Genomic DNA, 26,788 nt, shown 5'->3' with positions numbered 1-26,788 from the left:
CCCAGGTTCAAGTGACTCTCCTGCCTCAGCCTCCCGAGTAGCTGGGATTACAGGCACCCGCCACCAGGCCCAGCTAATTTTTGTATTTTTAGTAGACACAGAGTTTCACCATGTTGGCCAGGCTGGTTTTGAACTTCTGACCTCAGGTGATCTGCCCACCTTGGCCTCCCAAAGTGCTGGGATTACAGGTGTAAACCACCGCACCCAGCCCTTTACCATATTTTTGAAAGTACTTTATGTGTCTCTCTCCTCATCTTCCACAAAATTTGAGACCTTCAAAGGTAGAAACTGTTTTATTTAAAATATAAGAGTTCCTGACACAGAGAAGGTTCCCGAGTGATTGAAGTGCTACAATGTACTAATCATACTCTGGTCTATGAGTTCATTCCCAGATTAGCTGTGGATTACATGTGTTTCAAATGTATAGCTAGGAATCGAAAAGTGGTCTGAGCTTCAAAAAGTCTTACTATATTTTAATACTTCCATATGAATTTGACTTAATTATGTAAGGAAATAGTTATGTATATATATCTTATTTTAACAATAGGGTTCAAAGGAGCTTGACTTTTTTGGAATTGGAAATAAAAGTAGGTTCTTTCATGTTTATCAAGCAAGAACTAAATTACTCATACTGCTAAAGTTACATCAAGGATATGCTGATGTGTGGCGATTATTACAGTGTGATCAGCAGCATTTGCAAATTAAGAGAATACTATTTGGTGGGGAAGACATTTTTGAATTTGCACAAAAATTTTGAATGTTAATTCTGTGTAGTCGTGGCCTATGACAATTACATACAATTTTGACTTAACATACAGGTTTCAGGCTCCCAACATTGTATTCTGTGGAAGTATAGTGGAGCACTAGTCCATGAGCTTGAAAAGCTTGGTACTAGTACTGACTCTGCCATTAATTAATGATCTTGGGCCAGTCACTTCCTTTGTGACTGTTTGGCTTCTTATCTTTAAAATGAGAGAATTATTGAAGCCAGTTCTCATCACACTGAATGTTAAAAATTACAGTTACAGCAGTGATTGCAAATTCAAAGCTCTGGTGCGGATACCAACAGTGACTATAAAGTTTTCTAGGTGATTCCACTAGTTTCTTATTTCTTGGATGTGTATGTGTAGCATCTGGACTAGGCACTGTAGATGGATGAATGGGGGAAATTTTATTTAGCTTGAAAATTGAGATAGTTTTGGACCTCATGGTTAGGTCTTTCTGGGAAATTTTTAATTGAAACACTTGTAGAAACAGAAAGCAGACATGCTAGATCTGTCCCTGACCTCACTTGTTAGAACTGATCGGATTCCTGGGCTGATACAGAGAAGTTTGAAACTTTTCAAAATTTACCTGTTTTCTGATACCACTACAATTTCTTTGGAAAAAGAATTTCCTGTTAAGTGTCTGTTTTGTAAGGGGACATTTTGTAGGTTCTAGGGTGTTGGGTATGGTGCTGTCATTTAGTTTTCTTCAGCAGAGATCAAGTAGCCACATAGCTACACTAGACGGCATTGGATCTATCTGCCATCTTGTCAAGGCAGCAGAGTTGTGTTAAGAAAACATTTTTGGAGTCAGATGTGTTTCAAATTCCAGCTGTTATTCCCTGCATCCGTTTCTCTCATTTTAAGATAGGAGCTAATATTGTTTACCTAACAGTGTAGATGGTGTAAAAATTAAGAGTTTAAGTGCATTGGACGTATTATTATATACATAATAAATTCTCTGCAGCTACTACTTTTTTCCCTTTCCTGGTGGAGCATTTGAACATCACCTTGAGAATTAGTTGTATTTTGTTTGAACACAGGGTTAAGTGAAAAGCTAATTTGGGGAGGTGATTTGGAATGTCAGGTAGTCCAGGTTGCAGTGTAGAAAGAACACACTGAAAGGATGGTCAGTGTAATGTTAGAGGACTGTGAAAGTTGGGGAAAGAAGTTTAGTTTGTAGGTACTTGTTTTTTTGAGCAGGGAATTGTCTTGGCTGGAGGTGAACGTCAGAAAGGTTAATGTAGGCAAGTGTAGAATGGAAATGAAGGTGTGATCATTTAGGAGGTTATTTGTTTAGGTGAGAGAGTTAATGAATTAGGTTTTGTATTAACGAATGAAAATGGGAGCAGATAAATTTTTAACAAATTAAGAATCATATTTTAAAATCAGCACCAGGTACCTAGAACTCTTTGGCAAATAGAAACTTTCAAAAGATATAATCAGGTCCGGGCGTGGTGGGTCACACCTATAATCCCAGCACTTTGGGAGGCTGAGGTGGTGGATCACTTGAGGTCAGGAGTTCAAGACTAGCCTGGCAAACATGGTGAAACCCCATCTCTACTATTATACCAAAAATTAGCCGGGCGTGCTGGCTGACGCCTGTAATCCCAGCTACTCGGGAGGCTGAGGTGGGAGAATTGCTTGAGCCCAGGAGGTGGAGGTTGCGGTGAGCCAAGATTGTGCCATTGCACTCCAGCCTGGACGACAGATCGAGACACCATCTCAAAAAAGAAAAAAAGAAAAAATCAGTTATTTAAATTTAAAAGAGTAAGTTTCCCCAGCACTGTTTCTGGCATGATATAATTAAATGATTAAAATTATTTGATTTTTTTTTTCTTCCAATAGAAAGAAATGCAGGAGTTGAAACTAAATAGCAGTAAGTCAGCATCCCGTCATCGTTGGCCCACAGAGAATTATGGACCAGACTCGGTGCCTGATGGATATCAGGGGTCACAGACATTTCATGGGGCTCCACTAACAGGTGAGCTGGCAAGTGGATAATCGCATATTTTAGTAAAACTACTTTACTTCCCTCTTTTAAGTAGATAACGTGTGAAATCACCTTGTTTATATATGTTTGTTAATATACATGTCAACGTCTGTTTATATGTGACTTCAAAAGCTGTATTAGGTGTTACGGAGATTTTTATAATCCCAAGCAGAAAAAACGAGCCGTATGTGATCACGTGTATATAAAGGCTTAAAGAACACTTAATCCACACCTCAGATGAGCTGAGATGAGATTATTCCTTAAATTGCAAAATGTTATTGAATAGAGTTATGCACTAAGAAATGCTTAATTAAGAACCTACACCTCTGGGGAATTATTTTGATGATAATGATGAGAGGCAGGACGTTATATAGGAAATCTTACTTAATTTGAAATATTATGGTTATATAAAGAAAGAAAAGGAGTTTGGACCTGAATCATACTGGGTTTTTAAGTTCTGCTCTATCACTTACTATAATAGCTGTGTAAGTTAACCTGTCTGAAATGTGGAGATAATACTTGCCTTACATAATTACTATGAGCATTTGTGTATGTGCAGGTGGGCGTGGGTGTGTATCAGACATTTATTAGAGTATACAGTAAACAGTTAATGAACTAAGGTTACTAATAGTGTTTACTGTGGGTTGGCTGTGTGCAAAAGTGCTGTGTGAATGTAATTTGATTTAATTACAGTAACTTAGAATGGCCGGTACCATTATTAATCCCTTTTTTATAAATAAGGAAATGGATAAAGAAAGGTTAGGTAACTTACTCATTATTATACAGCTAGTTATTGATAGAGCCGAGATTCACACTCCAGTGGTGTAACTCCAAAGCACTTGCCAGTATAATACATTGCTCCCAGGCAGCCAGAAATAACAAAATTGTTCCTTTTACGTACGACAGACTTCTGAAATGGTAGTAGTAGTGCCCTTTTTTTTTTTCTCTTTTTAGCCCAGGAAAGATTTAGAAAAAAATCTAGTTTAGATGAGCACATTTGTGTGATGGTTCCTATAGTTAAGGCAACCCCACTAGCCTTTTGTGATAGTATCTTCTCAACACAAGCAAAATAACAGAAAATCTTTGTGAAGTCAAGCTTATTAAATGTCGTAAGTCATAGATAAGTATATGAAATGTCTAACGTTCAAACCTTGTTTTCTTAAAACCTTACACATCATATAGGTCCTTGTAAGAGGATAAACAAACCGGCTAGCCTTTCCTGGGGCTTTTTTAGTGATGTGTGCAGTCAGTTATTTGGTGCCTTGTGGGTCATGATTTCCATTTCTTCTGTGTACAGGCATAAAAGGTCTTCTGTTCTTATACAAGCATGTAAATCCAACATTCTCATTGTCTCATTTTATTCTTGCAATGACCCTGTGAAATGTGTAGAAGCAGCACATCGTCATTTTACAATTGAGAAACATGGAGACTCCAAATGGATTATTTACAGGTTCACAAAACAGCTTTGTGGCACTGAAAGGGCGAGAGCCAAGATCTCCTGATTTCTGTTCCTGTGTTCATAGATTCTTTTTCCTTAATAAAAGTAAACATATATCAAGATGGTCCTTGTTTTTTTAAAATAAGATGATTAAAATTAAAGATTAATGAGCTCATAGGAGATACTCAGAAGTACTGAACAGGGTGAAGAAAACTAAAAGCTAACCACCTCATTAACATTTCTTATATTTGAGAGCATTTCCTTCTGGTTCTTTCTCTATACATATAGTATTTTTTATGAGATTGTTACCATGTTACTATGTTGTGTGTAGATGAGCTAGCCTGTTTTTAAAATGTTACTTTAGTTCTGAGCATTTTTAAACTTAAATGTTTTTTGAATATTAATGAGTTCATGGTATCCCATCACATGGAAGTACTGTAAATTCTGTTCCTTTATTTATGTTGTTTCTGGTTTATGCCATTACAAATTCTAGGACACTGTCCTAGTTTTGTAGGGTATTCAAAATATTCAGTTTATGCTCTTACCGCTAGTATCTGATAGTGCCATTTTCGCACTTTTGCTAATGCTGACTTACTAGTTTATAAAATCCTTTGCCAATTTGTAGGAACAAAAGTGATATCAATTTTTAAGTTTTTTTAATACTAGTCATGCTCAACAATTCATGCAAATGGCAGTTGGTAGTTTTGCCATCTTCAACGTACCTTCCAGTTGTTTGGTTTCTTGGTAAAACTCACACAAAACAGATGGAGAAGAGTTTTTGTATATCAACATGAATGTTAATGTGATTTTTTTAAAGCCAACGAACACATTTGTGTTCCTTGTGAGATCCTGTGCGTGAATTTGTCAGGTAATTTTTTTGACCTGAACATTCTCATAATAGCTTCAATTTGCACAATGCAACCTCGTCATTTTGCAGATTTTCAAGGCTCACTTCAAAAACATGTTCCTTGAGGCCTATTAACATTTCTTTCCTAAATTGTCTATTCATATGGTGCTTTAAAAAATTAGATTACTTTTAGTAGATTTATTAGAGCCGCACAGTTTAGAGTCAGTAGTCAATTAAAGTCCCTACTTAAACTTCAGACTAAGATTTTTTTTTATTTAATATTTTATTTTTTCTTTTTGCTTTCATGCAGACAGACATCTTGCAAGACTTTAAGATTCTTGGGCCATTTCTGTCAGGTTGTTCTGTGTTCTGTGCCTGCTTCCTCCCCATAGTAATTTCAAAATAGCTATCCTCACCTCTGTAAGGTTTCCGAAATCAAACTTGGGCTTCTGGCTAGCCTTTTCTAGGTCTTGATTTTTCAGTGCTTTCCAGAGGCAATTGTTTGGAACCTCTTGGCACAGTTTCTGTTTCTCCTTCCATGTACAGGCATAAAAGGTCTTTTGGTTGTTTTCTGGTAAAACTATCATAAAACAGTTCAAGCAAATGACTATTGGTAGTTTTGTCATTAACATGGGTGCCTTCTAGTCATTTTGTTTCCTGGTAAAACAGACCAAACAGAGGGAGCAGACAGTTTGTACATCTGTATGAGTGTTGATGTGCTTTTTATTTTAAGCCAGGGAACACATTTTATGTTATTTATGACATCCTTTCCATGAATTTGTCAGGTGATTTTTGAGCTGAACATTCTGAGTAATAGCTTTAGTTTACAAAATACAACCTAGTCTTTCTGCAGATTTTCTAGGCCCACTTCAAATGCATTGACTATCAGATGGCATCTTGGTTCCTTACGTCCTTTCTGTGACTGAATGTCCATAATTCCACATCATACTGATCTTTCTTAGAAAAGGCAACAGTTACTATCTTCTTTATTCCTTTTTTAATGCTTGCGAGGTAGTTCTTGTTGATCACAGCGATGCTATTCTCTCATTCTTCATGTCATATTTAGCAATTTTTTTCTAGTTTGTCATTTGATAATCTTGATTGGTGTATTTTGATGTACAGAAATTTAAAATTTATGTAGTTAAATCTTTCTTTAACTTCTATTGCTTTTGTATTTATAGCTCTTGCCTAGATAGTCTTAACTGTAGTATAGACTTTAACAGTGTTTTCTTTTCTTTTTTTTTTTTCAGTTGCAACTACTGGCCCTTCAGTATATTATAGTCAGTCACCAGCATATAATTCCCAGTATCTTCTCAGACCAGCAGCTAATGTTACTCCCACAAAGGTAACAAAGGAATAATTTATACATTTATAATTATTTTCTTTTTAAATTGTTTAGGGTTCCTTCAAATAAATTCAAGAGAGCAGTTCACTATTAAAACTTTTATGTCCCTTAAAATGTAGATATTTTAAATTTATCTCCAAATACAGAAATTATCCTTCTTAGTCACCTTATTTTTGTGTTAGTAAGTGTGAATATTTAGAATATTTTAAAAATGGGAGTGGTGGTGGTGGATCCTTCATCGTTCTGTTTTAACAGAAATAGAACTGTAATGCCCTTGCTGACCCACTATGTGGTAAGTACTTTCAGGCCTGATACAGCTATATATATAACAATTGATTGAAGACTCAATATTACAGTGGTAGTTGAATGTGACAGCTTTGAGGACAGAGTGTTGGGGTGCATTTAGACCCTTGCTCTTCTGCTTATTTTGACCACAGGCAAGTTTCTTAACCTCTCAATGCATCAGTTGCCTCATATGTAAAATGAGGATAATAATAATACCTTAATTCATAGGGTTTTTGAGGATATTAAAATGAGATAATAATGTAAAGTGCTTAGAACAGTGCCCAGCTGGCACATTAATGAATGCTCAATAAATGTTATCATCATCATCATCATCATTATTGTTAACATCATTTGATAAATTGTTTAGGAATGAAGAAGGTATTTATTTCATGACTATTTTGGGCATGTGGATCAAGAAAATTCACCTTCATTTATGTTTCAGGGTTCTTCTAATACAGAATTTAAGTCAACCAAAGAAGGATTTTCCATCCCTGTGTCTGCTGATGGATTTAAATTTGGCATTTCGGAACCAGGAAATCAAGAAAAGAAAAGGGAAAAGCCTCTTGAAAATGATACTGGCTTCCAGGCTCAGGATATTAGTGGCCGGAAGAAGGGCCGTGGTGTGATTTTTGGCCAAACAAGTAGCACTTTTACATTTGCAGATGTTGCAAAATCAACTTCAGGAGAAGGATTTCAGTTTGGCAAAAAAGACCTCAATTTCAAGGGATTTTCAGGTGCTGGAGAAAAATTATTCTCATCACGATACGGTAAAATGGCCAATAAAGCAAACACTTCCGGTGACTTTGAGAAAGATGATGATGCCTATAAGACTGAGGACAGCGATGACATCCATTTTGAACCAGTAGTTCAAATGCCTGAAAAAGTAGAACTTGTAACAGGAGAAGAAGGTGAAAAAGTTCTGTATTCACAGGGGGTAAAACTATTTAGATTTGATGCTGAGGTAAGGCAGTGGAAAGAAAGGGGCTTGGGGAACTTAAAAATTCTCAAAAACGAGGTCAATGGCAAACTAAGAATGCTGATGCGAAGAGAACAAGTACTAAAAGTGTGTGCTAATCATTGGATAACGACTACAATGAACCTGAAGCCCCTCTCTGGATCAGATAGAGCATGGATGTGGTCAGCCAGTGATTTCTCTGACGGTGATGCCAAACTAGAGCGGTTGGCAGCAAAATTTAAAACACCAGAGCTGGCTGAAGAATTCAAGCAGAAATTTGAGGAATGCCAGCGGCTTCTGTTAGACATACCACTTCAAACTCCCCATAAACTTGTAGATACTGGCAGAGCTGCCAAGTTAATACAGAGAGCTGAAGAAATGAAGAGTGGACTGAAAGATTTCAAAACATTTTTGACAAATGATCAAACAAAAGTCACTGAGGAAGAAAATAAGGGTTCAGGTACAGGTGCGGCCGGTGCCTCAGACACAACAATAAAACCCAATGCTGAAAACACTGGGCCCACATTAGAATGGGATAACTATGACTTAAGGGAAGATGCTTTGGATGATAGTGTCAGTAGTAGCTCAGTACATGCTTCTCCATTGGCAAGTAGCCCTGTGAGAAAAAATCTTTTCCGCTTTGATGAGTCAACAACAGGATCTAACTTCAGTTTTAAATCTGCTTTGAGTCTATCTAAGTCTCCTGCCAAGTTGAATCAGAGTGGGACTTCAGTTGGCACTGATGAAGAATCTGTTGTTACTCAAGAAGAAGAGAGAGATGGACAGTACTTTGAACCTGTTGTTCCTTTACCTGATCTAGTTGAAGTATCCAGTGGTGAGGAAAATGAACAAGTTGTTTTTAGTCACAGGGCAGAAATCTACAGATATGATAAAGATGTTGGTCAATGGAAAGAAAGGGGCATTGGTGATATAAAGATTTTACAGAATTATGATAATAAGCAAGTTCGTATAGTGATGAGAAGGGACCAAGTATTAAAACTTTGTGCCAATCACAGAATAACTCCAGACATGAGTTTGCAAAATATGAAAGGGACAGAAAGAGTATGGGTGTGGACTGCATGTGATTTTGCAGATGGAGAAAGAAAAGTAGAGCATTTAGCTGTTCGTTTTAAACTACAGGATGTTGCAGACTCGTTTAAGAAAATTTTTGATGAAGCAAAAACAGCCCAGGAAAAAGATTCTTTGATAACACCTCATGTTTCTCGGTCAAGCACTCCCAGAGAGTCACCATGTGGCAAAATTGCTGTAGCTATATTAGAAGAAACCACAAGAGAGAGGACAGATGTTATTCAGGGTGATGATGTAGCAGATGCAGCTTCAGAAGTTGAAGTGTCTAGCACATCTGAAACAACAACAAAAGCAGTGGTTTCTCCTCCAAAGTTTGTATTTGTTTCAGAGTCTGTTAAAAGAATTTTTAGTAGTGAAAAATCAAAACCATTTGTATTTGGCAACAGTTCTGCCACTGGGTCTTTGTTTGGATTTAGTTTTAATGCACCTTTGAAAAGTAACAATAGTGAAACTAGTTCAGTAGCCCAGAGTGGATCTGAAAGCAAAGTGGAACCTAAAAAATGTGAACTGTCAAAGAACTCTGATATCGAACAGTCTTCAGATAGCAAAGTCAAAAATCTCTCTGCTTCCTTTCCAACGGAAGAATCTTCAATCAACTACACATTTAAAACACCAGAAAAGGGTAGGTACTTTGTTGTTAAAGTTAAGCACAATTTTTCTTTCTTTTAATGTTTAGCTTGATGCAGACTCTTTGTGGGATACTAATGTTGGGATATAAACGATGCTTTGTGAACACCCCCAAAATATTTGAGCAATTTTTTTTCTCCCTTAATAAGTTCACGGTGAGGTTTCAAAGAGCAAGAGAACTTAGTTAAAGACATTTCAGTAACTGGAAGATACTTCTATCATGCTAGGGCAGAGCAAAAGAACTTGGTACAGTGTACGGACTCATGCTTGAATCATGCGCATTAACGTGAGTCTTTTTTTAAAGTGTTCATTTTCATTTGTTCTGTTTCTTTTGTCACTCAGAAAACATGATATTGAGGCTGGGCACGGTGGCTCACTCCTAGAATGCCAGCACTTTGGGAGGTTGAGGTGGGCAGATCACTTGAGCTCAGGAGTTCGAGACCAGCCTGGCCAACATGGTGAAACCCTGTTTCTACTGAAAATACAAAAATGAGCCGGGCATGGTGGTGCGTGCCTATAATTAGCAGCTACTCAGGAGGTTGAGGCAGGAGGATCGCTTGAGCACAGGAGATGGAGGTAGCAGTGAGCTGAAATCATGCCACTGCACTCCAGCCTGACTGAGTGACTGAGTGAGACTTTGTCTCCAAAAAAAACAAAAAACAAAAAACAAAAAAAAACATGATATTGAGATGTTCTCATTTTATGTGTTGTATGTCAGTCTTGCTCATGTATTAAATGAGCAAAGAATGAAACTACAGGGATAAATGAATATGTAAGACAGTCAGATTGGTGGTATAAATTGAGGGATTCTGGCTTTTTATGTTTTAAAAGCATATTCATTTTGTTTCCTAAAATGTTAAAAAATGAAATATTCTTTATTTTCTAGGATTTAATTTTAGCCTTTTTAAATCTAATCCCATGGCCTTTTGGACTAGCACCCCTTCCTCACAGCCTGAGAGCAAAGGTATAGAACTAGCATTCTCAGTATGAGATAACAGCAGTTTTTAGCAGCTGGGTAGCCCTTAGCAAAGTATTAATTACTGTGGCTGTATGAAATGAAGTACTTACCACTACAACATGCATGTTAAAGAATGCCAGTTTAAGCAAAGTACCTTTTGACTGGTGGCATGACACCCTTGTTGGTTTGTTTTTTAAAATGTAGTGGGATGCTGATTTGTAATGTACTTCATTGCTCTGCTATTTCAGGTCTGCTCAATGAAGACCTATGTTTTATCTAATGTTTATCTTTAGCCACTAACGTCTGCCAGTATTCACATGTAGTGGCAACGGCATGTATACAGTATGGAAGAGTGTCCCTGTAGGGCTGTTCTTTTGTGCATGGTTTAGAAAAATGTTGTATTTGAAAATGGACCCCATTTTTAACAGCCAGCATTCTACAGCTTGCATATTATATATGTTGCACAGATCATTTTTAGAAGTGTGGCTACTAGAGTGGAACAAGAAGTGGGATCTGTTGAAGGCCTTCAAGAACAGGTTAGGGAAGTGAAATCTCACCCTTAGTGACCAGTAACACATCTTAGCCATGCCAAACAAGTACAATGATAAAGTAACAATCTCTGATTTTTTTTTAAGTATACCAGTTTTATTACCAGCTAAGGTAGCTCTTAATCTTTTATTTTAAAGATACGGTCTTTGAGAAATGTGAAAAGTGTTAACTTAAAAGTGGATGTATACTTGCGTACAGTTTCTGTGAGCTCTAGGTTAAGAATCCCTGAGCTAAGAACGAATGTGCCTATACACTACTGTAGAACATAGAGCCTTATTCTGTTTTGAATCTGATAATGTCATTGTCCCAAGGGACCTTAGAAATGAAGACTTTAGACATGAGTAAACTGAGGCCAAGAGAGGCTATCTGATTTACCCAAGGGGTCTTTACTGAGTAATAGCAGAAGTGGAACAAGAATCTGTATCTTATGGTGTACTGTTATTTCTCCTAGCTAGGAAATGATACTAAGTTTTTGTTTATAATGAAGGAGAGGGACAGATTTAACATTGTAAAAGGAAGGGCACTGGTTCTGCAGAGCAGTGTCATCCAATAGAAATAAAATATAACCTGTGTATGTAATTTAAAATTGTCATTTGGTGCAATGGCTGGTGCCTATAATCCCAGTTACTTGGGAGGCTGAGGCAGAGGGATCACTTGAGCCCACAAGTTCCAGGCTTCAGTGAACTATGATCACATCACTGCACTCCAGCTCTGGGTGACAAAGGTGACAAAGGAAGACCGCATCTCAAATAAATACATAAATAAATAAATTTTCTAGTAGCCATATTAAAAAGAATAAAAAGAAACAGTTAAAAAGGGAAACAGATGAAAGTAACTTTATTGATAGATTTGATTTAACTCATTATGTCCAAAATATCATTTTAACTTCTAATTAATATAAAAATTAACGATATTTTACATTATTGTTTTTCACCAAGTCTTCAAAATCCAGTGTGTGTGTTTACACTTACTGTTAGCATGTCTTGATTTGGACTAGCCACCTTGTGAGGTTTTAATAGAATGTGGCTAGGCTACCATATTGGACACCATAGCTCTCAGAATGTTTCCCTGTCACCAGTTGGTATACATGGCATGCTTCATAACTGGCTTACTTTATTAAACTCCTTTAGCCAGAAGTTCTTCTTTACATTAATAGATCAGAACAGGTTGCATATAGAAGTTTTTTCTGTTTCTAATTTTTTGCCCTTTGCATTGATGGTGGCTGGGGATGGGTTGTTTTCAGCCATATGAATGGTCTTAGATTTTATAGTATTAGCTACCCATAGAGTCACAGTTTTTATTTAATTTTATCTAGTATCATGCTTGAACACAGGCAAACTAGATGCAACTCTAGTCACCTTCCATTCTTGGCAATTGTTAACTTTCCTTACAGGAACTAATCACAGTTGGCTTTGGATTAGTTTCATATGTATACTAATACTTGCTTATGTTTTAAGATTTTTTTCAATTGCTGCAAATGCGTGGATATTTTGGTAAACTATTGTATGCTAAGTATAGTTAGGCAACACTTTAAAATTTTTAACCTTTTTAAATTCTAGAAATTTTGTAGTAATTCTTTTCAATGACTATTAAGTAAACACAAGATTTTTTTTGTTTTCTTTGGTTTTAAATAGATTCTGTGTTCACTTAGGGTTTTTGGTAGAACACTAAATCAGGATGCTAATTCTAATTCATGATTATCGTACATCTCTGCATCAAAGTATATGTGTTTTTTATCAGTATGCTGTTTTAACCTATAGATAGGTTCCATGGTTTTTATTTTCAGGTAGAGTATTAACGTCAATACTTAATACCTTATCTTTGTCAACTTTTTTGACTGGTGTTACAGCAAAAGAGAAGAAAAAACCTGAAGATTCTCCCTCAGATAGTCTCGGTCTCCTGACCTCGTGATCCACCCGCCTCGGCCTCCCAAAGTGCTGGGATTACAGGCATGAGCCACTGCGCCTGGCTGACACATGTCTTAATTCTGGTATTCACCAGATTTGTTTCGTGTTCTCCGTTGTTAGTCATCAAATTTGTCTACTTTTTAAATAGAAACATTAGCTAGAGCAAGGAACTTAGAAACACTCAAGCGGCACTGAATGTGTAGAATTGCATAACCAATATAGCTTCTTTGCTTTCACATTTACAATTAGTTGGAGTTTTAGTTCAGCCGTACCCAGTATCTTCCATTCTGCTTCCAGGAAGAAATGGAAAAATGTCAGCCATGATGATGCAGTATTTTAGTAGCAAGTTGATGGTGTTTTGGTTTCCCATGGGAAATATTGTCACTGGAGCATTAGCAGCTATCGGTCACTTATTAGGGTAAAAAAGCAACTTCAGAAGAATTTAATATATGCCAAAGAATCAACAAAGGAAGTAATCAGCCAGGGCAAAGGTCGCACAAGAGATTGTAATCTAGCAATCAGCAGTGGAATAAGCAGTCAGCTTACCAGAAACCCAGGAAAATGCTTCAGAAAGGGCAGTCAGGACTAAGGCAATTTAATGAAATGCAAAATAAATGAAATCTGAAGTTTAAATAAAAATCTAGATTACAATTCTGGTTTCTAACTCAGTTATGAGACCTTGGGCAAAGTCATTAAATTTCTCTGAACTTCAGATTTTTGGGAGTCAATAAACCAATACATGTCAAAGGGCCTGGTAAACTTTACAGTTTAGACCAGGCGTGGTGTCTCACCCCTGCAATCTGAGCACTTTGGGAGCCAAAGCAGTTGGATCACATGAGGCCAGGAGTTTGAGACCAGTCTGAACAACATGGTGAAATCCCATCTCTATTAAAAGTACAAAAATTATCTGGGCGGGATGGCATGCACCTGGAAGTCCCAGCTACTTGTGGGGCTGAGGTGGGAGGATGGCCTGAGCCTGGGAGGCAGAGGTTGCTGTGAGCCAAGATCGTGCCACTGCACTCCAACCTGTGTGACAGAGTGAGACCCTGTCTCAGAAAAAATAACACTTTACAGTTTATCAGCAAACAGGAAAGTCTTGCTAGGCAATGTAATTGATTAGTTCCGTGCCCTGGATTCTGGGCTCTTAACTGTATGAGCACTGTAGGTGTGAGCAGCAACAATTAAGAAGCTGCAGAGGTAAAGGTATAAGGGCAGTGATTGAGGATGTCTACCAAGCAGATTTCAGCAAGTGTGTTTCAAGAAGTATGCAGCAATCTGAAATACCTAATCCTGAAAAATTTCTAGAATCTAGTCTTTTAATTTTGGCCAGTATTTAGCAGTAGTTTGGCCCTCTACTCTAAATTAATAAAAAATAAGTAGTACTATATTATGAGCTGTGTTATCTAACAGTTTATCTTAGCTAGTAGCAATTAATTTATAGCTGCTATTAAAATGACTAACGTAGTTAAAAGTTTGATGAGTAAGTTTTTTTTTGTTGTTTTTTTTTTTTGAGCTGGCGTCTCGCTCTGTCGCCAGGCTGGAGTGCGGTGGCGTGATCTTGGCTCACTGCAACCTCCGCCTCCTGGTTTCCAGCAATTCTCTGCCTCAGCCTCCCCAGCAGCTGGGATTACAGGCACCTGCCACTGTGCCTGGCTAATTTTTGTATTTTTAGTAGAGATAGGGTTTCACCATCTTGGCCAGGCTGGTCTTGAACTTGCTGACCTCGTGATCCACCCACCTTAGCCTCCCAAACTGCTAGGATTACAGATTTGAGCCACCACGCCCGGCCTTGATGACTAAATTTTAAGAAATGTTTTAGCAATTCTTCATACACCTTTCACTTATAGTTACTTAATTCCTCTACTCTTATCATTTGATATTTTCATTTTATTGTGTACCTCTGTAAGGCCGAATCAATAGATTTTGAACAATCTCACACTTAACCTTTAAAAAAAATCTAATAGGCCCAGTTTCCTCTCAACAATCTTTGAAGAACCTTCGAGAAAGGAGAAACACAGACCTCCCGCTTCTAGACATGCACACTGTAACCCAGGAAGAGGGAGAAGGCATGGAGACAACTGATACGGAGTCTGTGTCTTCCGCCAGCACATACACACAGTCTTTAGAGCAGCTGCTTAATTCTCCCGAAACTAAACTTGGTCTGTTACTCTGTCTAAATATGTTCTTCTTCTTTAATTTCACTGTCTTATTTAATTACTATTACTCTAAGGTACATATGCTTTTTTGGGCTGCTCCAATAAAATTTCTTTCAATATTCCACTACCTGTTTGTATTAGGGTTCTCTAGAGGGACAGAACTAATTGGATGGTTGGATGGATGGATGGGATGGATGGATGGATGCTTATTAAGTATTACCTTACACGATCACTAGGCCATCTGCAGACTGAGGAGCAATGAGAGCCAGTCCAAGTTCCAAAACTGAAGAACTAGGAGTCTGATGTTCAAGGGCAGGAAGCATCCAGCACAGGAGAAAGATGTAGCTTGGGAGGCTAGGCCAGTCTCGCCTTTTCAGGTTTTTCTGCCTGCTTTATATTCGCTGGCAGCTGATTAGATGGCACCTACCAGATTAAGGGTGGGTCTGCCTTCCCCAGCCCACTGACTCAAATGTTAATCCCTTTGGCAACACCCTCACAGACAACACTCGGATTAATACTTTGCATCCTTTAATCCAATCAGGTTGACACCCAGTATTAACCATCACACTGTCCAAATGGAAAAATTATTAAACAAATCTTTTTTAAAATAAAATGCTAGCTCTTGCCCTAGGCTTGAACCATAAATAAGTGGTGGGAAGTTTATAGTCACAAATAGGTGGTGGGTATTAGAAAGCAGGATAAACTATCCTCTCACCCTTCCAAGAAACTGACAGTTTCAGTTTATTCCTCTTGATGAAGTAATGCTAAATTTTTGTAGTGATGTTTTGGTATATTTTATTACTTGTAATTAATATTACTGTTCAAAATTTAGGGGGAATCTGTCATCTTCCTGAAACTTCAGAATCACCTGGAGTAAGGGTCATTTGTATTCATGGTCACTGACCACGTGGGGTAGAAACTGCAAGTCATGGTTCCTTCAGGCAAAGTTAATAGTGGTGACACGGAGGCATCATGATAGAGCAGCAGACTCCAGAAGCCAATTTGACTTTGTGATTTCTGAAAAAATTACCTGTCAACTGTGAGCCTGTTTCATCATCTGTAAAGTTTGAATAATGATACCTACCCCGCCTGATAGAAGATTCTTATGAGGGAACATGATACGTGACCAGTAAATGTTAATGCTTTCCTTATACGTGAAATGACATAAAATCTTGGAATATTAATAGATGGGAAGAAGATGTGTAATAAAACTGTCTATAAACACAATTCTGACAAATTTCAGAACTGGGATTCATAGGGCTTTATTCAGTTAGATTACATGCTTTACAACAGAGATACTGTTTTATTTGTGTCACCTACAACATATAATCTGTTGATTGAGGTATGCTGAATAGATGAATGGCAAAGAAAGCAGACCTATAAAATATCACATAGTAAGATATTTATATTTAGATTTTTCTTATTTAGAATCTTCATCTGTAATGTATGATTTTGAAAATTAATTCTTGGAACAACATCTTGCAGAGCCTCCATTATGGCATGCTGAATTTACCAAAGAAGAATTGGTTCAGAAGCTCCGTTCCACCACAAAAAGTGCAGATCACTTAAACGGCCTGCTTCGGGAAATAGAGGCAACCAATGCAGTCCTTATGGAGCAAATTAAGGTGAGATCAGAAAACCTGGCCACCGTGAAAACCGCCAGTTTGGTTTTCTGGACCCTCCACACACATGCACCCAAGTTTAAAAATTCACATTGCAGATGCATCTATAACGTCTTGATCTTTATATTAGATTCCTGATGGTGAGAAATATTGCCTTTTTTTTTTTTTTTTGAGACAGTCTTGCTCTGTCACCCAGGCTGGAGTGCAGTGGCACGATCTTAGCTCACTGCAAGCTCCACCTCCCAGGTTCACGCCATTCTCCTGCCTCAGCCTCCCGAGTAGCTGGGACTACAGGTGCCCGCCAACATGCCTGGCTAATTTCTTTGCATTTTTAGTAGAGACAGGGTTTACCATGTTAGCCAGGATGGTCTCGATCTCCTGACCTCGTGATCCACCTGCCTTGGCCTCCCAAAGTGCGGGTATTACAGGTGTGAGCCACCGCATCCAGCCAAAATACTTCTTTTACACCTATTACATAAAGATTATTTCTTAATTCCTACTTTTCCTAAGAAACCGTAATAGATTTAGAAACTAGAGAGATGTTCACAAATCATTGTTCACATATGCTTAAATAAAAAATGGGTGTGAGTCTTTGAATTCTAAAGATAACCAGTGAATTTAAATTATTCAACTGATATTTATAGTACTGAACTACTAAACAGTTTTCAGGTGGAGATGGCAAAGTGGCATGGGAAGTTTTTCCTGTTTAAAGTAGACACCAGAAACATCTAGGAATGTTGCAGAACAGTTGAGGATTACTCAAATGAGGTTTTTCCACCCTGGCTCACTGATAAATCACCCCTCAGAATATAGTCATACTGCTTGTTGAGGAGTTCTTATGACCCAGGCCCTGGGCTTTACATACGTTATTTAATCTCATCACTGGTTGAGAGAAAAATTGAAGCTGGTAAATGGTGGAACAAAATTCAAACTCATAGCTGTCTGAAAAGTACATGCTTTTCCCCTGTACTTTGCTGCTCCTAATAGATCTGTCCTGCCACTGTGCAAGGCCACTAGCTATCCTTGTCAGATTATTTTAAAGCCGAATTCAGTTATTTTCAGTAAATTGTATATATCATGACATTCCACCATTAAATACTTCAGTATGCATCTCTATAAAATAACATTTTCCCACTAATAAAAACATTATCATAGCTAACAAATCACTAACTAGCCCAGTAAACCTAAATGACTTATTTAAATGTTATATTTTCTTTTTTTTTTTTTTTTTGAGACAGTCTCGCTCTGTCACCAGGTTTGGAGTGCAGTGGTGCAATCTCAGCTCACTGCAATCTCCGCCTCCCAGGTTCAAGCGATTCCCCTGCCTCAGCCTCCCGAGTAGCTGGGACTGCAGGCATGCACCACCATGCCCGGCTAATTTTTTTTATTTTACTAGAGACACAGTTTCACCATGTTGGCCAGGACAGTCTGAATCTCCTGACCTCGTGATCTGCCTGCCTCAGCCTCCCAAAGTGTTGGGATTACAGGCATGAGCCACCACGCCTGGCCAAATGTTATATTTTCATAAATTTGTACTCTCTTCATGATTTCTTCGTCTTCTTTATTGTCACTTTTTTAAATGGTCCTAGGTTTGAGGACAAAGTTCGCTAACTTTCTTGCCTAACCTAAAATGAAAATATACTAAAAGCTATGGCTTGGTTTCAACCTGGAAATCTTCCTCAAAGACTTGAACATGATATTACCTTTTTTATAGTGTTCTTTGCCTCATTTCTCTGATAGTGTTTTACATTGTCTTATATTCCTGAATTTTCACTGTGTCTGAACTTTTGTTTTGATTAAGTGCCGTTCACTGTGGACGTCTTAACTGCCTGGGACTTTAGGAACAGGGTAGGGGCAGGGGGTTAGTGGAGGCTGCCGATGTTCCCCTCAGCCCATTTTCAGAGCCCCATGCCATACTGGCTTAGTTTCTATCGAAAGTAGAAGGCAGAGGGAACATCTTGGTACCAACCCATGGCTCCAGTTAGTTGCTCCTCATGGAGACGTTCCATCAGTTCCCCAGCTTTCAACTCCATTTCCATGATACCCTGTGCTTCTGAGACAAGAACCCCAGTATTTACACAGGATGCATCCTCTCCTCTTGTCAGTGATACTTGGTAAGCTGCTGGACTGACTCATTTCCACCTCTTCATCTGTTTCTCGTGAGAATTTCTTGATGTGTCTCATCTACTTTTTCTCCTCTTGTATTAGCTTGTTGCTTTTCTACTTCGCCCCTCTTCCTTCCAACCCCAAATAGCTTAGGACAATGGAGTCCTATAGCCCAACACTTGGTTCATATGCAGCAATCCACTTTCTAGGCAAATGCAGCTTTGAAACTATCTCATAGTTGGAGTTCCGGTTTTCATGTCAAATGGATTTTATACGGTGATGTCATAAACTCCTTTGAAATGCTTCACATGCAGCTGCTGTAGTTAACTGAATTCCTTCCTTTATTGCCATATGGAGGGAAGGGGGAAATTTGGGGGGAAGAGAAGAAAAATACATGAGTTCAGTCTGCCATATTTAATCAGAAGCTCCTAAAGCCCATTTTTAACTCATTTCTCTAACACCAGCTTCTCAAAAGTGAAATAAGAAGATTGGAAAGGAATCAAGAGCGAGAGAAGTCTGCAGCTAACCTGGAATACTTGAAGAACGTCTTGCTGCAGTTCATTTTCTTGAAGCCAGGTAGTGAAAGAGAGAGACTTCTTCCTGTTATAAATACGATGTTGCAGCTCAGCCCTGAAGAAAAGGGAAAACTTGCTGCGGTTGCTCAAGGTGGGTAAAAGGAGAGTCTCAGAACTTCTGACTTCTAACTTAAACTAAACAGCCTGGTGGTTGAGAAGTTGTCTGTATGTGTAACTTTTCAATTTTGCTCATTTGAATTGGGTCTGTCATATGAGTAGGCCGTGACTAGATTTGAAAAGCTGACTTTTTAACATCTTGAGGCAACTGTAGTACATTTATATAATTTTAACGTTCAGCAAAATACAATAAGTGCTTAGCTTGATCTTCTAGCTCTTTGAAAATTGGATTTTTATCCTGGGGTTGAGTTCTGGTGTTCAGCTGAACGTGGTTTTGTTTTAAATTCTACTTTTTAAAAAACATTTATTAGCTTGTTCCTTTTCTACTTCACGCCTCTTCCTTCCTCCAACCCCAAATAGCCTAAGACAATGGAGCCATAGAGCCCAACACTTGGTCTATATACAGCAGTCCACTTTCTAGGCAAATGCAGTTTTAAAACTGTGCCATAGGCCAGGCGCCGGTGGTTCACGCCTATAATCCCACCACTTTGGGAGGCCGAGGCAGGCGGATCACAAGATCAAGATACCGAGACCATCCTGGCCAACATGGTGAAATCTCGTCTCTACTAAAAATACAAAAATTAGCTGGACGTGGTGGCATGCGCCTGTAGTCCCAGCTACTCAGGAGGCTGAGGCAGCAGAGTCGCTTGAACTCACGAGGCGGAGGTTGCAGTGATGTGTCACGCCACTGTACTCCAGCCTGATGGCAGAGCGAGACTCCATCTCAAAAAAAAAAAACAAAAAACTATGATGTAGTTAGAGTTGGTTTCCATGTCAGATGGATTTAATACTGTGATGTCATTAACTTCTTTGAAATGCTTCATATACAACTGCTATAGTTAACTGAATTCAAGCTGCATCTTAAGAATTATGGTTTCGTTTTTGTTTTAGTTTTAAATTACTTTTATTTTTGACATTTACAAGCACAAGGAAGACGCTATAATCTCTCTTGAGTTGTCACCCATCTCTAACAGTTTTCAACTCATGGACAATCTTTTGGCGTAACTAGGGGAGAGTTAGAGACTTAAATCCCACACATCATTTCTTTCCCCAGTGAATAATTCAATGTTTATTGGATTTCTCTGTCACCTATACCTAGTTTATGTTCATTTTGCCTGTGTTATTGTGAATGTCTTTTTATAGTATCCTAAATAGGGCTCATATATTGCATTTGGTTGATATTCCTTAAGCTTTATTTTGTTGTTGTGTTTTTGTTTGTTTGAGACGTAGTGTTGCTCTGTCACCCTGGCTGGAGTGCAGTGGTCCGATCATGGCTCACTGCAACCTCCGCCTCCCGGATTCAAGTGATTCTCCTGCCTCAGCCTCCCAAGTAGCTGGGACTACAGACGCACGCCAGCTAATTTTTCTATTTTTAGTAGAGACGAGGTTTCACCATGTTGGCCAGGATGGTCTCAATCTCCTGACCTTGTGATCTGCCCGCCTTGGCCTCCCAAAGTGCTGGGATTACAGGTGTGAGCCACCACACCCAGCCATTTTGTTGTTTTTTTATCTATAACAATTATATATATAAGTATATTTTTAATGTGCCACTTATTAATTGAAGAAAGTGGTCATTTATGCTATAGCAGTTCTATATTTGGGTTTTAATCATTACAGGGTAACACTGAGCTTGTTCCAATTGCCTATAAATAGGAAGATCCAGGTGCAATTGGGTGGGATGGTGGACAAAAATACATCATAGATGGTATTGTGTGCTTTCTAAGACATGAGGAGGCCCAGAATGTCCAGACAACTTACTTTTGACTGATTGACCTTATCTAGTTGGTGTTCTTTAACATGTTCCCCATCCCCTGTAAACCCTAATAACTAAACTGATAAGAGTCATCCTCAAAATTGAGCAGGCATCTGAATCATCTGGTATACTTACTAAAATTCCAATTGCTGGTCCCCAATTTCTGACCCAAGATTCTGCATTTTTAGCAATTTGTTGCTGATGCTTCTGGTCTGGGGCCCATACCTTGAGAACCCCCGGTCTAGAGGCCTGATAAGATTCAGGCTTAATTTTTTTTACAGACATACTTCATAAGTAGTATTGATAGTTTCTTTGAATCTGGTTTTTAATAATCTTTCTAATGATGAAGGAGGAATGTTCTCAATACTGACAGTAATCTCAGTTCTTCAAACTATAGGATAGGTTTCTATAGCCACAATAGTATTTTTGTCACAAGGGCCCAAATAAGAATACATCATGTATATTTTTAATACTTATTCAAATTACAAATTCACTGTCTTTAATTTATTCTAACAAAAGTAAACCTAATTTTATAGTTATAAAAAAGAAGAAATCTACTTCTAGTCACCTAAGAGTAAAACTGCCCTTATAAAAAACAAGACAGAAATCTCAAAATTATAACTAATTTTATAGTTATAAAATTAACCAGGACTTTAAGAACGTTTGCATTTTAAAATTAAAGTTTTCAATAGTTTTCAATACAACAATGATACTATCTCAAAATACTCAGCATGTCTAACAGGCCTCTTTTAAAAGCTCAGCATGTTTAATGTAGGTGTTGCTAACGTCCAGGTGGCTCCTATAAGTTAAGGGTCCATTGATTTAGAAGTTCTAAAAGAGACTAACCTAAGGGATACCAATAACAGATATTTTTAAAGAATTTCATAGAGGAGATACACATTAGAAACCCAGAACTCTAAGATGTGCATTTGCTAAGTCCTGTAAACAGACAGGAAAACACATTTACATTAGTTTGCCCTTTAAAGATTATTTCCTACTTGTCTCTTATCAATGTGAGTACATAAAAGAGACCTTATTACAATTAAAAACAATGATGGTTTAGCAGCAGATTTAGATACCTTACATTCTCTCTTTAAGAGAGAGAATGTAAGGCCTGGTGCGGTGGCTCACACCTGTAATCCAGCACTTTGGCAGGCCGAGGAGGGTAGATCACCTGAGGTCAGGAGTTCGAGACCAGCCTGGCCAACATGGTGAAACCCCGTCTCTACTCAGAATACAAAAATTAGCCGGGCGTGGTGGCGCATGCCTGTAATCCCAGCAACTTGGGAGGCTGAGGTAGGAGAACTGCTTGAACCCAGGAGGCAGAGGTTGCAGTGAGCCGAGATGGTGCCATTGCACTCCAGCCCAAGCAACAAGAGCAAAACTCCTATCTCAAAAAAAAAAAAAAAAAAAAAAAAAAATAAAAAAAAAAAAAAAGAATGTAAACTACAAGATGGTTCAAAAGAAATTACACGGAATTCAGCATGGGAGAAACAAAAAACAAGAGTGGGAAAAGACATCAAACATGTTTTTACTAATCGAAGTTCTAAAAGGAGAGACGAGAATACAGCACAGATAATATATGAAGAGAATGGCTGGAAATCTTTCAGAACTGTTGAAGGATATCTATCCACAGATTCAAAAACCCAATAAAATCTCAAGCAGTATTAAAAAAAAAAAGAAGAAATCTACTTCTAGTCACATAAGAGTAAAACTGCCCCTAAAAAAGACAGAGAGAAATCTCAAAAGCAGCCAGAGAAAGAAGACACATTGCCTCACAATAGACTTCTCAACAGCATTGGTGTAATACTATCTCATGTACTAAAAGAAATAACTGCCAACCTTTTATATTTTCCAAGATCTCTTCTGGAAAACAAAAACTTTAAGAATCTGCCTTCACTGGAAATTCTTAATGATGTACTTCAAGCAAAAAGAAAATTTCCTAGGTAAAAGGTCTAAGATGCTAGAAAGAAAGACATGCAAAGGAAACTTACCACCATATTACAGATATGGACTGTCAGTCTGACTGGTCACACTAGGGGCATTTTGTTACCAAGGCCTTGAAAATAATAACCAACACTGCATACATGAGGGATGCCAGAAGAAAGGTCTGAGAGCCACTCTTCCTGGCACTGAAGGAAACAGGGCCCATCAGAGCAAACAAGTACCTTTTGCCTCTCTCATCTCCTTGGAGGCAAATGTTTATAATCTCTGGTTTTGTGTAAAGTTTATAACAGTATTTTTCATTCAGGTTGCTACCTATTAGTGGATGGTGAAATTAATTTGGTGGATCACATTCAGGATATTTTTTTTTTAAATCAAAAGAATACAAGCTGGGCTCAATGACTCACACCTGTAAGCCCAACAGTTTGGGAAGACCAGGCAGGAGGATTGCTTGAGAACAGGAGTTCAGAATCAGCCTGGGCAACATGGCGAGACCCTATGTCTACAAAAATTTTAAAATATGCCAGATCTGGTGGCATGTGCCCATAGTCCTAGCTACTCGGGAGGCTAAGGCAGCAGGATTGTTTGTTAGAAGGAGTTCGAGGCTGCAGTCAAACTTCTGGTCGAAATCCTGGTCACGCCACTGCATTTCAGCCTGGGCAACAGAGTAAAACCCCATCTTTAAAAAAATATTAAGAAATAAAAATAATATGTGAAACGTTAGAATATGTTGAATCTGGTAAGGATAAGCAATTATTTCTTGAAACTCTACATACATACATGAGTGTTGGTAAATACCTGACTGTATCATCAGCTCTAGATATAAAATGTTTATGATGTTGGCTGTGAGTTAATGAGGAATAGTTTTCCTTTCTGTGGGTTTGGGTGTATTTGGGAAACATTAGCTTAGGAGGGTAAAGTAGGTTACCCAACTCTGAAAAGCAGCATCAAAATCTTTATAATAAACACATATTAGGGGCCCAACTTAAATTTCAAGCAGATGTCATGAGCTGCTCAGAGTAGCATGTTACAACTCTGCGTTATAAGGTAAAATGACTTAGAGTGTAGCAGTAGTCCCCAATGTCAAATAGACAGTGGTAAGTATAGATTGCTCTTCTCCTTGCATCACAAATGTTAATTCACCCTGCCCCCACACGCATTAAAACTCAGCATATTTCACAAATTGAGTGTTTCATTTCTATTTGAGATAGACTTATGGTAAGTCAGCTTTGCTCCCCAAATAAGTTAGCCATATAGTACTTCTATATGCAAAATTTGAATCTCAATTTTACTACTCAAGCTGGAAGTAAAAGTCATTTTTGTATATCTTCTTTGCTCCCAGACTGGGTTACAGTTTACAGATCTGAATATTGTCACTTGTACACCATACATACACAGAGGTCTAAAACTCTCTACAAGTAAATAAAGAAAAAAAGCCCAGCAACCCAATAGGAAAATAGGCCAAGCCTGTTATAGGCTTTTTGATCATCTCCAGACTGGCAGGAAGAGAATGCATACTCACACTGTAAGTGCCTGATTTGATTTGCAGAGGATATAGAACCTTATCAGAAAACAGCCTTCCAAGGCAAGAGCAAATGCACCCTATCTAAGCACAGCTTTTCTCCAATTCTTATTTACCTAAGGAGATGAATAGCTGCCAGGAACATTGTTTGCACAAGGGCAGGAGCCTGCCAGATCTGAGAACACAGCAAAATTTTTATTTTGTCAAAAATCTTATATTCAGCTTACACCATTCATTTCAGGTGAACATACAACAGTCTGCATTTCAGTTTAGGGAAATGTTTACAGTCGTCTGGTTCTCTTTATTCTTGGGAACAAGGTTACCTCACTTGGAACACATAACCAGTGCCAAGTTGTCCATCCCTAAGCAATATCGCTTCCTCCTACTTTCTAGAAGTTCTTCAGGTTGTGGAAGACAGACTTTTCAGAATTGTTTGCCCTCATTCCCTCCTCCAGAAATGCATGCCTTTGTATAATCTCTTCCCCTTGAGAGCCAGTAGGCTAACCTAATGAGTTATGTTTAACCAGTAGAATACAGCAAGAATGATAGATTACAAGAGATTGTGGCTTCTATCTTGCTAGCGGCCTCTCTCTGTCTTCTCTGCTTGCACACTTTGTTGAAGCAAGCTACCATCCCAGAGGCAAGGAACACAGGCCATCAGTTTAGCAGCCTTGAGGAACTAAATTCTTCCAACTACCACATAAGTTTGGAAGTAGATTCTTCTCCAGTCCAGCCTTCAGATGAGACCCCAGCCATGCCAACATCTTGATTGCAGCCCTGTGAGAGACCTTGAAATAGAACCATTTCTGATCTCCTGACCCACAGAAACTGTGAAATAAATATGTGTTAAGGTACTAAGTTTGTAGTAATTTGTTACGCAGCAGATTGTAAATAACACGCAGATAAAACCAGACAGAACAGAAAAATAAAATGACTTTAACTCTAGAAAGTTTCCCCATGTAAAATTTTGAAAATGCTACTCTGCCTAAGGTCAAACTGTCATACATATATACGTATGAAAACACAGAAAGGTGTCTGGAAGGGTAATACCAAATTAAATCTTTATCCAAGAGGAATGAAAACCAGTATTCACACAAAAACCTATGCACAAACCTTGTGAATATATTAAAAACCAGTGAATTATGCACTTTAAAAAGGTGAATTATGTGGTATATGAATTATATCTCCAAAACATTTAATTAAAAACCTGTACACAATTATTCGTAGAAACTTTCTTTAAAATTGCTAAAAACGAGGAAGATCTCAGTTATCCTTCAACTGGCAAATGAATAAACAAACTGGTACAGCCGTGCAATTGAATACTGCTCAGCAATAAAAAAGAATGCACTGCCAGTTCAGCAACATGGGTAATTCTCAAATGCATTATGCCAGTTGACAGAGGTCAGACTCAAAATACTATGTACAGTGTGATTCTACTTATATGACACTGAAAAAAGCAGAACTATAAGGACAGAAAACAGGTTAGCGGTTGCCAAGGAGTGGGAGAAGCAGCCAGGGAGAACTTTGAGGAGATGAAAATGTGCCAGGCCTTGGTCGGTGGTGGTACGTAACTGTGCATTTGTCAAGACTCAGTGCTATATGCTGAAAAGGGCAGGTTTTACTATAAGTAAGTTGTACCTCAATAAACATGATTTTTAAATGATTAAAACTTTGGTTTTTGTTTGTTGTGGTTCAGTTTTAAGGTTTCCCATAAATCTATTGGTTTTAGATTCTAAGTTGTATATAAGCTTCTGTTTTAAAAGAATTTTTTTTTAAATCCCCTTATCGTCAACAATATTTAGTTGTGCTGGAAATTTTATTTTGGAATTGTTTAATAGAGAAAGACAATAAATAATGTTCAAGAACAGACATTGATTCATAACATCAAAGTATATTGTGAGAAGATGGTATTTCAGAATAGAGGAAGAATTTCTTATGTGCTGGTAAGATTGTAGATAATCATTTCTGCATAATTTTCATAGCTGGATTGCTTTAATAAAGCCATTTAAAGGTTAAGTTCTAGATTGCTTCATGTTGCTTATCAATGTTTTAAAGCTAAAATAGAAAATTAGCTGTTAAGTTGGCTCAACCGGAAATTCAGTATATCCTTTAAAAAGAGAAATTTAGTAAGCAGTGTGTCTAAAGAATGACATATGGTTGGGTACAGTGGCTCGTGACTGCAATCCCAACACTGTGAGGCTGAAGTGGGAGGATCACTTGAGCCCAGGAATTTGAG

General features: G+C 38.0%; 1 protein-coding gene across 19 annotated transcripts in view; it reads left to right on the top strand.

Annotated features, from left to right (window-relative positions):
* The window catches only part of RGPD6 (RANBP2 like and GRIP domain containing 6), a 97,255-nt gene that overhangs the window by 68,254 nt on the left and 2,213 nt on the right, over positions 1 to 26,788 (top strand). For 10 of the 19 annotated variants that reach the window (NM_001384362.1, NM_001384363.1, NM_001386155.1 and 7 more), the window contains 5 exons: positions 2,613 to 2,748; positions 6,293 to 6,387; positions 7,115 to 9,338; positions 16,399 to 16,538; positions 19,106 to 19,307. In NM_001384362.1, coding sequence (NP_001371291.1) covers positions 2,613 to 2,748; positions 6,293 to 6,387; positions 7,115 to 9,338; positions 16,399 to 16,538; positions 19,106 to 19,307 — 2,797 coding nt within the window. Of the gene's footprint in view, positions 1 to 2,612; positions 2,749 to 4,146; positions 4,316 to 6,292; positions 6,388 to 7,114; positions 9,339 to 10,229; positions 12,331 to 12,699; positions 13,605 to 14,721; positions 15,242 to 16,398; positions 16,539 to 19,105; positions 25,869 to 26,788 lie in introns of those variants that run through there. The other 9 variants (XM_047445731.1, XM_047445732.1, XM_011511769.3 and 6 more) reach the window with 8 other exon arrangements.

This window comes from Homo sapiens, chromosome 2 (genome assembly GCF_000001405.40).
Source record: "Homo sapiens chromosome 2, GRCh38.p14 Primary Assembly".
Lineage (NCBI taxonomy): Eukaryota > Metazoa > Chordata > Mammalia > Primates > Hominidae > Homo > Homo sapiens.
Note: the sequence above shows the minus strand (reverse complement) of the source record. Positions and strands in the feature narration are given on the sequence as shown.